General features: G+C 39.1%; 1 protein-coding gene across 33 annotated transcripts in view, besides 1 other annotated feature; it reads right to left on the bottom strand.

Moving 5' to 3' along the window:
• Positions 1-15,055, bottom strand: part of ESR1 (estrogen receptor 1) — a 472,948-nt gene that overhangs the window by 61,623 nt on the left and 396,270 nt on the right. For all 33 annotated transcript variants that reach the window (XM_047418290.1, XM_017010377.2, NM_001385568.1 and 30 more), the window contains one exon: positions 6,873-7,006. In XM_047418290.1, coding sequence (XP_047274246.1) covers positions 6,873-7,006 — 134 coding nt within the window. Of the gene's footprint in view, positions 1-6,872; positions 7,007-15,055 lie in introns of those variants that run through there.
• Positions 12,720-13,919: an enhancer, noted in NCBI's record as "CDK7 strongly-dependent group 2 enhancer chr6:152375213-152376412 (GRCh37/hg19 assembly coordinates)". NCBI's record gives its function as "activates an origin of replication core promoter dependent on BRD2, BRD4, P300/CBP, MED14 and CDK7 cofactors, with strong dependence on CDK7, by STARR-seq in HCT116 cells {active_cell/tissue: HCT116}" and the evidence as "EXISTENCE:reporter gene assay evidence [ECO:0000049][PMID:35650434]".

Raw genomic sequence — 15,055 nt, 5'->3', positions numbered from 1 at the left:
TACTTCCATAAGAGCTATAAACATTTGCAGTTTATATTTGGTGCGGTTGCCAATTTAAGTAGAAGCTACAGTCATTCATATTTAAGCAACATTGGCATACTAAGAACATTTTAAGTCAGCACTGCGGGAATCAGGGGAGCATTTTTTCCTTTTGTTTTAAAAATTTTTTGAGATGGAGTTTTGCTCTCATCACCCAGGCTGGAGTGCAATGGCACGATCTTGGCTCACTGCAACCTCTGCCTCCCAGGTTCAAGTGATTCTCCTGCATTAGCCTCCTGAGTAGCTGGGATTACAGGTGCCCGCCACCGTGCCCAGCTAACTTTTTGTATTTTTAGTAGAGATGGGGTTTCACTGTGTTGGCCAGGCTGTTCTGGAACTCCTGACCTCAGGCAATGCACCTGCCTCAGCCTCCCAAAGCATTTTTTCCTTTTAAACTGGGTCCATACATTATTCAAACTTAATGCCAATTTACATAATGTCTGGACCCTAGAGAAGGTAGGATAAAATGGTAATCAAATTGAGTATCTGGGAGATGGCATTCTCCTTTGTTGGTTCTCTTGAGGACACAAAGTGATAGGCAGCTTCTCCTCCTGAGGTGCTGAATGTGAATGGAAAATGGCTCCTAACATCTAGAACAGTGCAAGGATTTCCCGTCTTTCGACACCTGCTGCCTTTTCTCACCTCCCACAAATTCATGCTAAAACTCCCTACATTTTCCCCAGGCTACAGGCATTTTGTTGGTTTCCCCAGTTCTCAGAAGCTCCAAGAGAATCTCTGCAACAAGATGCAGGAGCAAATCCACACCATTTGGGACTTGAGATGATTCTATTCACAGAACATCTTCATCATGGGAATGCAATCTTTTAACCTGAAAGCGCAGGGGTGAAATTCTCCTGCAGAATTTCCAGGCAGGGATTTATTTATTACCTGCTAAGAAGAACAGAGTAATTTCTTTCATAGTGACAAAACTAAGGCTTTGTATTTGGAGGGCATAACTAAAGCTTAGTAACACTCATGTGCATCTACTGTGTGCTAGTCATGGTGCAAGATGCTTTACTAACTGGTCATTCTTTCAATTGTCACAACAATTCCATGAGTTTAAGTATCATTATTTCTATTTTTTTATTAGGCTCAGGGAAGCAGCTTATCAAAGGACATCAGTCATCCCCCTTCCGCCAAGGAAGTGGCAGAGTTGCTTCTCCTGAATTCAGTCCTCTCTGATGACAAAGTCCATGCTATACCATGTTGTCAGGAAACTAACAGGAGCCATGAGGCTTGCTTAAGGCAACACCAAAAGTTGGTAGCAGAGAAAGGCTCCAAAGTTGAGTGGCTGCCTACAGAATACAGTCAGCCAGAGAAGAGACAATGAACCACTTAATACTATGAAGTGCCATTTATCTCAAAATAATGACAATAAGCCAGCTCCCTGGAGAGGAAGCTTGGCATTACAAAGGACTCCAGAGAGAACAGAATCCAATCTTCTCCAATGTGACAACAATGGGCATACCTGACAATGTGCCCATTTACAATTTCCAAGGGCCGTTCCTGTCAGAAACCTTCAACTGTTGAGAATTAATGATTTTCAGTGTTTACAGTCAATATGTTTAAAAAATGTTCTTTCATCTAAATACAGGGACTCTCTGAATCACTGTCTTATTTCTAAACATAAAAACATAAACAATCTGAGTAATTGTCTAATAATATAAAGTGAGTGCAAACAATCCAGATCTGGAGAAAGAAAATAATCTTTGTGATGAGAACTTGTTATAATTAAGCATGAAACAAATACTTCCTTGACCAGAGAGTGGCTTCTGATCAAAGCAAACAGAATGGCATCTGCTTCAGCATCCTTCGTTTCATGAGGGCACCATCATGGCAAGATGTGCCACATTAACAAAGCATGACTATATGGCAGACAGCAGCTGGCACTGCTTCATGTTTATGTTTAACATATATGTTCCTGTTTGACATTCCATAGTCCCTTTTTTGCTAAACACTAAAGTACACATTTTAGAGATGTTGCCATAATTCTTTCTCCTATCTTGTTTTCTCTTAACTTTGCACCTTGGGTATTTAAATGTCTATGAATTTTGACCCATATTCCTCTTTATTATTCCACCAATTGAAAGAGAAATGTTGTCTGAGGATCAGTTTTGGATGAACAGGTGAACAAGGCTATAGCATTTCAAGAGCATAAGACATTTCCAGGGGAACAAGTGGCCCTGTGAACAGTGATGCAGAAGCCAGCAGCACACAGAAGGCATCCGGGTAACTGGAGAAGGTTTGAGGAGTCAGGAGAGAAAAAGAGGACCTACGGTTGAAGAGAGGACAGAGGGCTGGAATCATGGTCTGGCTGGTTCTCCAGGGAGAGAAGTAGATAAAGTTACCAGGGAGGGAGGTGCATGAGGCTCTTCAGAATTAAATATATAGAACTGTGGTTAAGAGCGGTTTAGAAAAGAGGTAGAAATAATTATTAAATTGAATGTGAAGGCCAAACCAAACATTTATTAGAGAGTATAGGTTTTTACATATAAAGCTTTGACATATGAATTTTTCTGAGCCTTGAGGAACTTTCACTGAAAGGGTGGTTTTCTGATAGAGGTGGATTCTCAGGGGTTATGAGGCTAAAACCAGGGCCCACTGATGAATGATGCATGAACCCATGTGACTCCACAGCAATTCACCATAGAGTTTTCATCAGGGTCTCTCAACGGTAAGTCCCAATCACAATCAATTATTATCCACAAGATAAATGTTGCTCTAAGTTTTCTCTAAATCTAATTACGTGGCATAATTAATAGTCTCAGGATAACAGCCATGGTCGTCTCTATTGTTGGTGTTACCCTGGAGTCCCCACTTTTTTTTATTGTAAGCCTTGCTAAAGGCCTTTAAACTAAAACACTTCATTACACTGAAAAAAGGCATGAACCTACTCCGTTTAAGCCAGAGATTCTCATCAGTGATGATGATAGCTGTTGTTGACTAAGGGCCTACAATGGTCCATGAACTGCAATAGACACTTCCTACACAATTTCCCCCTTATCCACAATAACCCAAGGAGATGGGTCTTGCTTTTTCCATTTAATAATTTGATATCATCTAGATCTGTGGAGCACTGAAGAGCATGATACATTTCAGAATGGTAAGAACAGATGGGAAAAATGAGGACTTTCCAGGTCCTCCTGGCCATGTCTAGCAAATAAGCATCTATTAAATGACTGAATGATGTAACATCTGTTGACAGTCCACAGGCTAAATAGACTGTGAGGAATCCAAAAAAATACAAATAGTTTATAGGGAGATTAGGAAATACATGCATAAAGAGTGAGAGAAAAATCCAGGTTAACTTTAAAAATGCAAAGAAAAAAACCCCACACAACAGTAACATTCAGTTTTGTATACCTGGCACAAAGTCCATAGTAGGAACTCAATAAACATTGAATTATTGAATAAATGAATGAAATCAACCAACTAACCAAATCCTAGACTGTGTGGTAGTGACTGTAAGAATTGAAATAGTCTAGAGAGGAAATTCATTATGGACTGGGGTAGTCGCAAAACTTCCCGAATAAGGTGAGCTAGGCCTAGAAAAATGAGAAATAATTGAATGATATGCAGGAAAACTGAATTCCCATTGGGCAGAGGGGATACTGTGGGCAGGCCCAGAGTCTCCACCATGGCCCCCTTTGCAGCTCCAGCTCCCATCCTTCCTCCGCAGCTGCTGCTTCACGGGCTTTTGCCCTGGGCCCATCACTTCTGTTCTGATTTGCCCTACACTTCAGCTCTGTCCAGCTAGTTCTCAGAATGTCTTGAAGTTGGCATCTTGGATTAACCAGGAATGCCTCTGTCCTTTGGTGTGGAGTGGAAAAACAAACAACGTGTGTCCTATGGATGATTCCGGGTTTTTGCAAGCAAAGTAATAAATTATTCTAAATGGGGCAGAAATGATGACGAATATCTCCCACTCCCAAGCAGCTGTGAAAATGGCTTCCCATGGAAATTTTGGCATTTGAGAGACCCTCTCCAAACTTCCAGAAAGACATTCCGAGCAGGTCCTCACAACAACCTTTCAATTCCCCTTGTGCCTCGGCCACAAAATCGGGGCCAATATAAACCCAGCCTCCTCAGACCTTGGCGACTGGGGCTCAACACAAAACCTTGGGTTCCTCCATACACTGAGGTTTTGTTTCCCAGGTGTCAGAAAGGCATCTTCTAGCTCAGGTTTCCTGAGCCGTTTCCAGCTTGGCTTCTGTCAGAGATTCCTGGAGTCAGAGTCACTTGGTCATTGGTCTCATGAGAGGTAGAGCTGCCCCGTATCAGGGCCATGAATCAGTTGGACTTTTAGAAAAATCCATATCTCCAGTTGTGGAGAAAAATTGTTGATTGTGGTATGACCACATGCTTCATATGACTGATTGCTTTTTTATTCTGAAAAAGGCTCCTAATGCTACAACATTGTGTGTCAGTCTTGCCCTCTTTGATGCTGTTTTTCAGGAACAATAGGAGACATGAGGAGCCCTGCTCAGCAGCAGATCCGCTTTTCTGGGGCACAGCTCACTTTTGTAGGGAAAAGAGTGGTTTCGCTTTGTACAGGGTTGAGAGACAGCTTCTGTTTGCTTACTGCTCTCCTGAGCCAGCAGTACTGTCCTTGATAGAAAAGAGGAGCTGCCAGCCGCTGTGTTATCTCATGAAAAAGACAACTATAAACTATGTCAGCATACAGTGCCTTGAATTTCTACAATAGCGTTTCTGCCCTTCAAGAGCAAAGAAGTGCCAAGAAGATCCTAAGAAAGAAGTGCACAGAAGATCCTAAGAAAGAAGCGAAGGAACAAGGATGGAGTATGAAAGTTTAACTAGTCTGAGAAGGAGGCAGACAGGGGCCAAATCCTGCAGTGAGAAATATAGTCTTGAGGTTTGGGTGCCAGTCTTTAATAAAATACTTTCTTGTGAGGGCTGAAAGTTTTTTCCCCCTGGGTTGTAAAAACCCTGGGTCTATGAATCCAACTTTTTGGTGGCAAAAATCCTGATATTTCTTGCATAATAGTTTTAAAAACTCACTCTGCCATAGGAACAGAAACAAAACAATAATGCAGGAAAAGTCTATATGGATCTGGAGGAAATATTTTTTATTACTGAGATCAGAGCATCCACTGTGTGGATCATACAACTCTGGCTAATTTTACTTCCTGTCTGGGGTACTTTTTCTCAGTAAAAGTTCGGGGTGGGGAGTCTTAACACTTAATAGGCCTGCCTTCTCTGAAGTTCCCAGATTGCCCACATGAAAGCTGTCAGCACGTGCCAGCCCTCCACCGAAGAAGGCACAGGTTCAGGACCTGGCACCATGTAGCTGAGTGGCACTGCTCCCAGAACTCTCATCCAATAAAGAGCCATTGTGGGATCTGGACCCTACAATGTACAGGACAAACGACTGAAATGAAAAGCACAATGCACGTGAGTGGAAACAGAAACCTGAATGGAGTGGTAATCACTTCCTTAGTGTGGATCACATCATTTATCATGGGACTTCATTCTGTAATTCAGTCCTTGCCTAGTGTAATAGTACAGATTTCCATTTATTAGTTGATAAGTGAGAATGATTACTGTGATAACCATTAGGCAACACAGGTTACTAGTGGTGGTGGGGAAGAGAAGTGGAAAATTGTCATGGGAGGTGGGAAGGGATTGGCATTCATCAGAAAGAGACAAAAACACAAGAAAAGAGAAGGAAGGGCTGATTCCATTAAGCAACACAGGTTCCTAGCAGTGGTGGGGAAGAAAAGTAAAAAATTGTTAGGGGAAGCGGGAAGGGATCAGCACTCATCAGAAAGAGACAAAAACACGTGGAAAGAGAAGGAAGTGCGGATTCTCTATGTATGTGATCAATACAAGCTGCAATTCAGCTATTGAGGAATTTGAGACTATGTCTAATGGCATAAGAAACTAAGTCAGGCCCAGAGATTCGAAATAGCTATGATTTCTATGTGAGAATGAGGGATGAGGCACAAAGTGGGGTTAGAGCCAGGGGGAAAGGTGGAGCTTAAGGGGAGCTGCTGTACCGCTGATACCCAATGTGAGCTTTAGGTCCCAGAGGCTGTAGAGCTAGAGCTTAGATCCAAATACCAAGAGGCTAGGAGGAGTCAGGGCACTAATTCAGGCTGAACCATAGTTTCCATCTTGGTGACATAGAGTAACTCTTTATACAACAGCCAGCCTCACTACATTGAAAACAAAAACAAAACAAAAACAAAAACAAAAACAAAAAACAGATGTTGCTCTTAGCTAAGCTTTCTCAAACAAATAAATACGAAGGGGCAGTAGAATCAGACTTCATAGAGCAAATGGAAAATGTTCTTTCAGCTGGACAATTTATTGCATTCCACATTCTTCTGTTTTAGAAACAGGTTTTTCTATCTCTAAGCCAACTATATTTTTAGCTAGTCAGTTTTGACCAGAAACATGGTCTGTCTCAAATAACCCTCTTTCTTTACTATCTGGAGCCTGGAATTGGTCACAATTTCTTAACAGAATTACTTGGTCTACTTATTTTCAGACATAATATAACTATCAACTAACATATGTCTATATACATGTACCATTTGAATAAAAACATCCTATCTGTGAAAGCATACAAAAATTTTAGCTCAAAGGCCATTTGATTCAATGCCAAATTACAATTTTTCATGTGTCTATTTGGCTAGCATGGTTCTACCTTTATAAGGAATCTGCAATGTTGGTAGGTTATTTTAAAACGTGTGTCAGTAGTTTCTTTCTATTTATGACATTATGCCTTTGGAGTGGGTAGATCGTATCTGGTTGAAAACTACAAATAAACATTTCATCCAGCATTGAGTTATCTTGTGTTATCAACTCACCAGAATTAAGCAAAATAATAGATTTGAGGCACACAAACTCCTCTCCCTGCAGATTCATCATGCGGAACCGAGATGATGTAGCCAGCAGCATGTCGAAGATCTCCACCATGCCCTCTACACATTTTCCCTGGTTCCTATGAAAACATAGCAAAAATAAATAAATAAATAAAAAGATTAAAAAACAGAAAATCTTCCACAAGACATGAAAGGGTTCACATTCATAAAAATCCACTGGTTCTAAATCTTTAACAAAAAACTATCAGCCATTGTCTTCATGGAATATGAACATTCATTTGAATTCTAGAAGGCAAAACAAAAAAATAATTTCCCATCAATAAAACATTCTCATTTCAACTTCTTAGAAGAGGTAGGTAGTTCAGTCCTCAAGTCTGCCATGTTAAATATGGAGTTCTTCAACCTATGGGTAATTGAAAATGATCAAGATCTGGGTAAACGATTTATCTAATACACGTATATTGATCTGCTACTATATTCTAAACAATGTGGTAGTTCTGGGAATAAAAACAGGGCCTCGGCTGAAGATGCTCATAGCCTTCAAATAATGTAACAAGTCCTGATGGTTGTGTTTTGTAGTGCTTTTGAAGTACAAGAACAACTACAATAACTATGGGCTATGGTTGGGCTGAGCCCATTGGTATTGCAGGAGATGGTATATAAGTAGGTGGCATTCGAGTGGACGCTTTAAGATAATGTAGGGTTTCATCAAGCAGAGATGTGAATGCCTCCTTGGAAGAGGGTCCTAAACATGGGAGGAGGAGCAGCATGAAAGAACATAGAGCAGTGTGTTGGAGGTCAGGAGATGGCAGATTAATCTGTGAAAACAGAAAAATGTCAGATCTTGATATTTTTAGAAGTTCAGGCTTTTAACCTTGGCATCAAGAATTTAACATTAGTAGTTGCAACTATTAAATAAGCAAACCAAAGGTGCATAACATGTAGTACTTAAAAACATGTGTCTGTATCTTTTTTATTGGGTTGTTGAAGAATTTAAATGAGATACTACACACGAAAGGAATTCATTTATTTTTTTCTTTATCACAAGTTGAATTTTGGCATGATGTGTTTGACGGGGTTAGAAAGAAGTTAAAATATTTTCTGCATGCACAAATATATATTTGTGAAATATATAAACAATTAAAATATGAACACTAAACATATTGTTTAGCACCTTGTTTTGTTTTTAGTTAATAGACCTTGGAGTTCTCCATCAACTTTTTTTGACAGCTCAATATGTCTTCACTGAACTGAATGCTAAACTTTCTTCAATCACTTCTTTCTTGGGTGACATTTCTTTGCTTTCAAGTATTTTGTTGTTAAAAACATTTCATTCAATGACTATCCTTATGTTTATGTCTTTGGATATGTGTACAGATAGCTATAGAATAAATTCTTGGAAGTAGAATTGCTAGATAAAAGGGCTTATGTATTTTAAATTTTGATAGTTCAAACATTGCTTTCAAATAGCTTGTACAATAGACTGTTGATAAGAGAATATATTGGTATAGGCTTTCTCTAAACTGCCTGCTCTTGTCCTTTGCACGTATTTTTCTGTTATTTGTCATTTTCACATAGATTTTTAAGAGTTCTTTAAATATTATAGTAATAAGCCATTTGTCATATGTATTTTTAATTGTTTTTCTTATGGTTTTTTGTTTTTTCTTCTGATGTTGTTCCTGGTATTTTCTTCTGCAAAACATTTAATAGAGAATTAAATTTATCGAACGTTTCATTTATTCCTCTAGAACATTATGTCTTGCTTTTAAAAGCAAAGAAAAATAAATAAAAAAATTTTACATATAAATATATACAACATAACATATAAAATTATCTTATATTTCCTTCTAGTATACTTCCATGCTTTTATGTTTAAATTTTTGATCTTCTGGGGTTTATTCATTTTTATAACAATTTTATTGAAAGATAATCACATAACATAACATTTGCCCATTTAAAGAGTGTGATTCAATGGATTTCAGTATATTCACAATGTTGTGCAACCATTTTTGGGGATTTATTTTGGCGTAAGGTATGAGAAAAAGATCCAATTAATATTTTTTCAACTAGCTCATTAGTTTTCTTTTTCACAGACGTTCTTTTCTTTGACTTAAAAATGTTGATTACTTCTGATATATTCATATACTTCTTAGAAGTGACCTCTAAGATTAGCATTATTATTTCCATTTTCCAAATGAGGGGATTAGGACTCAAGATTGTTACGTCAAATCACATTGCTTATCAACCAAAAGAAAGAACTCCAACAAGAAGATCTTCTTCTCTGTCTTTAATTCTTGCTCTACTTTAATTCATTCAACAAGATTTACTGAGAGCCTATTACATACTAGTTCTTATGCTCAACACTAGAGTACCAAGAAGAAAGCCATGGGCACTGTCAGTAAAGAGATCTAGAATGGGAACAAGACAGGGAGAAAGCCAGGTGCAAGACACAGGAAAAGTTCTAGAAAGAAAGCTTTTTGCATCTAACATCAGTCTCCCCAGATTCAACCCATCTCAATATTGAAGAAATTGTCATCCTATTCCCAAATAAAGTGAAATGAGGTTTTTTATGTAAAGTGCTTAGAATGGAGTGTGGCACACAGTAAGGATCACCTTTAAGTATTACCTATAGATATACTGATAAATACATGGATATGTCAAGGGAGAGGTTGGCCTTTTAACTTGAAGGAGTCAGAAAAAAACTGCCATGCGCATTTTGCTTTGACTTTGAAAATCTGGATGCATGGAAGCTCTATAGAAGCACAGCAGGAATTTCAAGAGGTATGCTGCCCAATGTGTGGCTGGCAGAGTGCTCACACCAAAGGCTCCATTGGCATTGAGTGGGGAGAACATACTAGAAGTGGGTTTTTCTTGTCATGGAGTTGAATTTTTTTTTTAAGCAGTTCATCTTCTTTCTAGTGAAAAAATAAACAAGGATAGGGGAAAATGTTTGGAGGATGAATCTTTAAAAATAACAACTCATAGCCAAAATAGAGAAATGTTCCTTTCTCAGTATAACGTCTCTGTTTACTTAACAGACTGCACACCGGCAGGGGAGGAAGTCTCAGTGTGGGAGGGAGCCTGTGTTCACCTGCTGTGAGCAAAAGTTCAGTTCAGAAACTGAGAAAGTGGAGACTTAACAATTCTCCTTTCTTCTTGTCCTTTTTCAATCGTCTCCCATAGTTTCCCACGAAGAGCTCGTTCTTGACTCTTCCAGCAAGAGTGTATTTTTCTCAGCCTCTTCTCACTGGTATCCTGTTATTCCTAACCAGGAATTATTACCTGTCAACAATATAATGCTTGCTCTACAGCACACATTAGGAGCTGTAGACTGTGCCCTCAGGGATGGTGTATACCCCAAACTCTCAATTCAGTTCTCACGTGTGTGTGTGTGTGTGTGTGTGTGTGTGTGTGTATGCATGTGTATGTTCCTTTAGGGAATGTGGAGGGGGCATATGTTGACTATTAATCATAGACATATTATGATAGGAAGACCCCAGAGCCTACCTTCCATGCAAACACATGTGCTTCATGTTTTTGTGGTGTACATCTGAACTTTGAGGGCTTCTGGGGGGATATGCAATGCAGTGAAGCTGCACTTTTCTAAGCAGTACTGTTTAGAGGCTACAAGAAGTTTATCCTGATATATTCTTAAGAATAAAATCACCCTGTTTTTCAATGGGAGCAACTTAATTGGTCTAAGCACTTTAGTGAATCCACTATTTGCATAATAAATAAAAATTATGTACTTTGATGATTCTGATGATAGTTTTGCTAAATTATCCAAATGTTGCTTGAATCTCAATGACTGGCCAATTATGTGGTACCTATGGGTCTCTCACTAGCATTATTACAAGGTGAAAAGGCTTGCCACGTGAGCTAGTGAAAAAGTGATTTGTCAACCTACAATCTGGCACATATCTATGTGGACTTTGAAGATGAGATAGATACTTGTCACTTGCCTGATGCAAAGGAACTCTTCAGTGTCTACTGAGGTCATTATGCATTGTGGTCAGGGCTTCATTTTCAAAGTCTAGCCAAAATATTCTATACTAACTTCAAGGGGCAAATCAGACTAGAGCATTTAGCTCAATTTCAGTGGGTATGGATGGATCAACGGCATCAGAAATGGGGTGATTCCTAGGAATCTGGAAGTAACATGACTGTAAAAGACAAGATTAGTCTAAATCCATGAGGTGCTCCTGAGGCTGAGAAGCACGTGGGGCATGGAAAAACAAGATTTATTTTTAAAGGAAGCACACAGCTCCAGTCATAGATCAGGAGTAGTTTATCAAGCAGACCAGCCTATGACTCCCACTGTGAGACGTGACAGCCTGCAGTGATGAACTCCTCCATGGATTATGTCAGTCTGGTTTTCAGAGCACCTCAAAATCCCCTTGTGGGGAGCCTTGTTCTGCTACTTATCTTCTTCAAATGTGGTCCATTTGCACTTAAGTAATGGGGGAAAGAACCAGACTTGACAGAGCATTTGCTCATGGCATGTTCTGGAAGTTTCTCCTCTATAAAAATAAAAGCCTGTTTTTCAGAAGCCCTAAGGCATCTCTTCCTCCACATGTAAAATAAAGAGCTCTAACGAGGGTGTACAGATCAAACCTTCACTTGTATATCTTCAAAAATATGCCTTACAAAATGTAAGGTTACCCATTAGCATCTCTTTATATAAAAGGAAACTGATAAATGGAAACTGAGAAAACCCAGGGGATCAACATAAGACATTTAATTTAGCTGTCCTGAAGAAAAGTACAATATGGTTTTAAAAAGGTAACAAATTAAGATGCTGTTCAAAATCAATAGTGGCAAGATTAGATGTATTGAAAGAGCTTCTTTATCTTCAATGCTACAAAATCTCTCAGCATGTGCTCAAAATGCTGAGACTCCATAAATATTTATATGATCAAGAGGTTTACATATGCAGCTCTGAAGTATGGAAGAAAGTGATGAAGATGGAAATTGTAAGTGATATATCTTGAAAGATGAAAATTTTAAAATGAAAGTTGTTTAGACTCTTGAGTCCAGCTGCCTGGGTTCAAATCTTGATGCCACCATTTACTAACTTTGTGATCTTGAACAAATTACTTAAACTCTGTGTGTCTGAATGAGTATACAGACAGAAACATCACAACGTACTGTAAGTTGCAATTAACATTGGGATTTGATGGCTGTTTGATACAGCAGTTAGCCCATGTAGATTAAAAAAGAAATTGGTACTAGAAGTGAATACTGCCATGAAAAATGTTTACTTCCTAATGCCAGGTAGTAAGAAAACATAGCAAGCTAGGGAGCCCTCTTACAACACTGCAAAATATCTGCTGTGAAAGAACTTGGCAGGTAGGCTACATGCCTGGGGAAGTGGTCAAATGAGACCGATAGTGTGTAGTGGACACTCTGGCAGTCATTAGTAAGGTGTTGCGAGAAAGACGTGAGATCAGGCAAGAACTGAATGATTCTCAAGCAAAAATGGAAGGGAATGGAGCAAGATCAAAGATAAATGGCCTTACAAGATTGGAAGAACCAACAGTTTTTGGCCATGAAATATTAAGCGATGAAAAGTAAAAGGGTCTTGGGCATGGAAGACCAAGTAAATCTTCTTTGTTTACAAAGTAACTCAGTCTTATGGCAAAGGGTGACAGCAGAAGGGTATTTCCTTGCCATCCAAACTTATTATTTCAAGTAGTCTCAAGGGAGTCACCGTTAAGTCACGAGGGAAAGGCTGAAGCGCTAAGAGGCAAATAAGAATATCAGGCTTGTCGGCGAGGACATGAGGAAAAGTGAACCCTGGCGTGCTTGGTTGGATATGTAAATTACTACAACCATTATGGAGCTACTACAGAGGACCCTGCCCAAAATTAGAAATATAATTACCATTTGATCCAATAATCCCACTACTGGGTATATATCCAAAGGAGATGAAATCAATATGTTGAAGAGATATCTGCACTCCCAAGTTCACTGTAGCATTATTCACAATAGCCAAGATATGGAATCAACCTGGGTGACCATCAACAGATGAGCAAAAAAAAATAAAATATGGAATATATGTACAATGGAATGCTACTCACCCTTTAACAAGAAGGAAATCCTGTCGCTTGCAACAACATGGATGGACCTGGAGGATATTATGTTAGACATTGCTCCCAAATGACCAAAGGGCTATAAGAAATGTCATTCCATAGCACCCTGCTTTACAGATTCGAATCATTTCCAACTGGCATGATCAGTAAAGGAACAAATAGTATGTAGCATTTGATGTGGGTCTCAAAACATTGACTGAGTGAGGAGGAAAGAAATTTCAGGAATTTCCAGGAAGATTGAATGGTACTGGAAAGGCCAAGAGGTGGGAGAAGAGAAGACCTATTCAGGGAATATTGAGTAATCTAGCTCATAGACTTTGCTATTTGTAAAGAGAGAAACTGGCAAAGAGGGCTGAGTCAGACTGTGAAGAGTGGTTAATAAAAGGCTCCTGAGATGAAATGGGAGATAATGTGTAAGGGAAGACCATTAAGAGCTTACCAGTGGGTGACACGATCACGTAAACACTTTTGTTGTGACTAATTTGGCATCAGTGCGCAAAGGAGATTGGGGGAGAGAGACGAGTCTGGAAGAGACGGCAGGTAGGAGGAGGGGGAGAGAAGACGTGAGACAGCACCGTGGTGATAAAGAGAAATCAGGGCTATTCTGAAAATCCTTTGTTGATCTGAGGGAAAAATCAACAAGATTTCAGCAAATGATCCTCGGTGTTAGGCAATAAGGAAGGATTTAAAGACTCCTCTGGAACTGTATGTTAGGATGGATGGAAAGATGATAAAAGAAAGCAAGAAATTAGCAGAAAGAGGGAAATTCAGAGGTTTGTCTGAATTTCATCTTTAAGGGAAGAAAATATCTTCCCTTAAAAATGATTAGTTTAAAATTTCACGAGACTAAGTCAAGATGACAACAGAAAATTGAAAATGTGGGTCTGAAACTTGAGAGAGGGACAGCGCTAAATATATCAATTTGATGAGTTTTTTTTTCACTTGCTAAGATTGGGTATCTTTTCAAATAGGCTTGTTAAAATATACCTCATCTTTTAAATGAGTGCCTGGTATTTCACTGTGTTCATATGTATTTAACTGCTCTGATTATAGGCATTTATATTATTTGTAATTTTCAGCTACAACAAACAATGTGCAATTATTCCTATACATATATTTTCTACACTTACAAAAGTATGCAGGAAAAAATCCTTACACATACAATAGCAGAATCAAGGGGTGTAAACATTTAACCTTTTACTAAGTATTGCCAAAACGCCTTCCAAAAAGGTTATACCAATTTACACGGCCTCCATGAAAGCATAAAATATCCGGAAATACAAATTTTGGAGATATCTGAATAGAAATCACTGAAACTGGGAAAGCAAGTGAGCTCACTAGGGAAGAGAGAGAGAGAGAGAGAGGCAGACAGAGACAGAGACAGAAAGAAGGAGAGAGAAAGAGAGATTAACAGAGAAACAGATTGAGAGAGAGAAAGAGGGAGAGAGGGATTGAGAGAAAGAGAGGATAAGAGAGAGAGGAAGAGAGAGATTGAGAGAAAGAGAAAGAGAATGGGAGAGAGACTGAGGAAGAGAAAGATTGAGAGAGAGGGAAAGAGAAAGAGAGACTGAGGGAGAGAAAGATTGAAAGAGAGAGGGAGAGACAGAAGGAGGAAGGGGCAAGAAACTGGCAGAGGGAGGCAATTTGGGAGCAACAGCATATCCAGCGTGATAGGACAAGGTGGAACCAATCAAGAGGACAAATGGTTGAATGGTCAGAGGTGTGGCTGGATAGGAGCGACCAAGATGTTGAATGTCAGAAGGTCCAAAGGAAAAGATGGTAGAGTGAGATAGACTAAGGGAGGGACTGAGGGAGGGAGGGAAGGAGACAGTAATGAAAATAGATGAGTGCAGAATCAATATCATCACAGGAGAGAAATACCTTTTTCTAACTCGAGGATATGAGAAGAAATAAATGTGAATGCAGAAATTCTGAGAGGTTAATTTTTTAGTAAACAATTTTTTTACTAAACAAATGTGATATTATTTTCAGAGAATATGGGAAGGTAGCCTGAGCCTGGAGCCTCCAGGACCTCAGAAGCATCAGTCAAGGCTGCTAGGGCCCTGGATGGGCTAA

The sequence above is a fragment of the Homo sapiens genome, chromosome 6 (genome assembly GCF_000001405.40).
Source record: "Homo sapiens chromosome 6, GRCh38.p14 Primary Assembly".
Classification (NCBI taxonomy): Eukaryota; Metazoa; Chordata; class Mammalia; order Primates; family Hominidae; genus Homo; species Homo sapiens.
This window is presented reverse-complemented; position numbering and strand designations above follow the sequence as displayed.